This window comes from Homo sapiens, chromosome 1 (genome assembly GCF_000001405.40).
Source record: "Homo sapiens chromosome 1, GRCh38.p14 Primary Assembly".
Taxonomy (NCBI): domain Eukaryota; kingdom Metazoa; phylum Chordata; class Mammalia; order Primates; family Hominidae; genus Homo; species Homo sapiens.
The window spans coordinates 43,067,018-43,069,493 of NC_000001.11; the positions used below are offsets into that span (position 1 = coordinate 43,067,018).

At 59.5% G+C, this 2,476-nt stretch overlaps 1 annotated feature.

Moving 5' to 3' along the window:
• Window positions 1,255-1,354: a silencer, noted in NCBI's record as "silent region_774". NCBI's record gives its function as "represses an Ori minimal core promoter by ATAC-STARR-seq in GM12878 lymphoblastoid cells {active_cell/tissue: GM12878}" and the evidence as "EXISTENCE:reporter gene assay evidence [ECO:0000049][PMID:35858748]".

Sequence of the window (2,476 nt, forward strand, 5' to 3'; positions counted from 1 at the left end):
GAGTCAGGCTGGCTCTGTGGCTGCCCGTGGTCTTGGGGCAGGAGGGCTCCAACTATGGGCCTGGAAAAAGGAGGGGCAGAGGCTTGAGGGACTGGTAGAGACTGGGGAGAGAAGAAAGAGGCAGGGTGTTCTAGGCAGGAAGATCAGTATGGGCAAAGTGGGAAGGCTGGACTGAGTAACGTACATATGTGTGCACGAGTCTGTGTATACTAGCGAGAGCATGCCCTAGGGGCCTTGGAGAATATAAAATCCAACTTTTCATTTTATTGGTGAGGAAGCTGAGGCTAGAGAAGGGAAGGGACATGTCTCTGGTCAGAGTGAGGTCCTGACTGACTCCAGCTCCAGTCCAGGTTCTGCCTCCAATTCCTGGGTTCTAAAGACGGAGGTGTCAAGCTGAGCTGCCAAGTCCCTCCTTCTCCGGCTTTTTGCTGGTCCCACAGTGGTCTTGGTGATGCAGAGCAGGGGCTTAACAGTGATGTCTGCCTTCTGGCCAATGGGAGGGTCTGGGGCTGGGCACTCTATCCCTGTCCAGGAGTCCCAAACAAACCCGGAGTGGCTGCTTACACCTCGGCCTTATCCACAAGGCATGTCCCAAGCCCAGACTCTGGACACCCAGAGAAGAACCCAGCACTGAACACCAGGCCGAATGGGCTCCAACACCCACGCTAGAGAAAGCCCCAACCACCTGACCCAGAGAGAACTTACAACTGGGCTCTGAACACAGAGAAAAGGTCCCAGCACCTGACCCAGACGCATCTACACAGGCTGAGTTTCCATTACAAACTCAGTACTGGATCACTACAACGCCATCCAGAAACTCCCGTAAAGAACCGAACATCCAAATGCGAGCACCCAGAGAGGGTCCCAGCACCCAAACCCTGAACACTAAGAGGAGATCCCAACACCCGAACCGGGTCCATTTGGATCTGCTTCCAACCCAGACCCAGAACATCCCGATTAGATGCCTACAATTGACTCAGATCTGGAGCCCACACCGGGAATGGACTCACCCAGTCCTCCCTCCTCCCCATCCAGCCTCGGTGAGGCTCATCCTGAGAGGTCTTCCAAGTTCGAAGACTTTTTCTGCCGATATGTGTGACCATCGATCGGGATGACTGCGACTGGGGAAGGGAGCAGGAGGCCAGGCCTGTTCCCTTTGGGGGAAAGGGGAGGGGATCCAGTTTGCAGGGCTAGGGTGGGAGCGGGCAGGCGGGGTGTGCGCCCCGGCCGCTTCCAGTCGGCGCGGGAGCTGGGACGGAAGCTGTGCGCCCTCGGAGCCCCTGCAGTCCCCTCACCGGGCGCTCCCAAACAGCCCGCGGGGCGCTGGGCGCGGGGCCAGGAAATCCGGCGCCGGCCCTTGAAGCGCACCCGGGCCGGGAGGGGGCGGCGGGGGCGGCGGGGGCGGGCTGGGCGCTGGCACCACGACCGCCCGCTGAGCAACGTGACTGCGCGGGCTCGGGTCCCCACCAGGACAAGGCGGCCTCTGTGCCGACCCAGCTGATTCCTCTCGGGCTGCAAATCCCTTCCGGCTGACAGCCCTGCCGGCTGGGGCCAGGCAAGGGAACGGGAAGCGGGGTTGGGGGCGAGGTGGGCGCTGAGGATTGGAGCCCATTGGCGGGAGGCCCCCAGGAAGGCCGTCTGCTCCGTACATCCAGGGTAGCAAAGGCTACCGTTCCCGGACAGAGAAGCCGAGGCTAGGAGAGGTCCAATTACTAGCCCAAGTCGCACAACTTGTTTCTTGGTTAAAGCCAGAGTTCTAAATGACGCCCCATGATAAACTCTGTATTTGTTGTTGAGAGTTAGGTGGCGTTATTAGTCTCAGTTTATAAATGAAGGAATGTGAGGCTCAGAGTTGAAGCCGCCAGCCCAACGTCCTAAGACAAGAAGGGAGTGAGGCTGGGACTGGAGCCCAGGACTGCCTGCTCCAAAACATGGGGGCCAGGCAGTCCCAGCAGACCCCTGACCCCAGGTAATCACTGACAACAAGCCGGAGGCTCTGCCATGGGCCCGTCCCAGGGTCCCCCTGCTCATGGCCTTCTGTCTGGTTGGTTCAGTGTGGTGGACCCGAGGAATGAGTTCCGTTAATCTCCTGGAGGACAGATGTGGGGCTGAAGGAGGGAGATGGGGTGAGGGTGGAGGCGCCAGGTGGCTGGAGAGGGGACTGGAGGGCAATGCATCTGGGAAATGACTTTCCAGAGGTCCCTCTGCCCTCCCCCTGCAGCTGGGGACGGAGCTGGAACCCCAGAGGCCATGAGGGTGGGCTGGGGAACCATCCAGGATCCAGCCTCACCCTGGCCTCCCAGGAACAGGATGGGGATTGTCCCGTGAATTCTATGGAATTAAAAAATGGCACCTTCTCAGCGGGAAGGGAGCTCGGCTGGTTCCCGGGACTGTCTGGCTTCTGTCCTGACTCCTACAACTGCGGCGGCTTGGGACTTTTTCCATTCCTTGACCAAGATTTGACCTAGACAGGGAG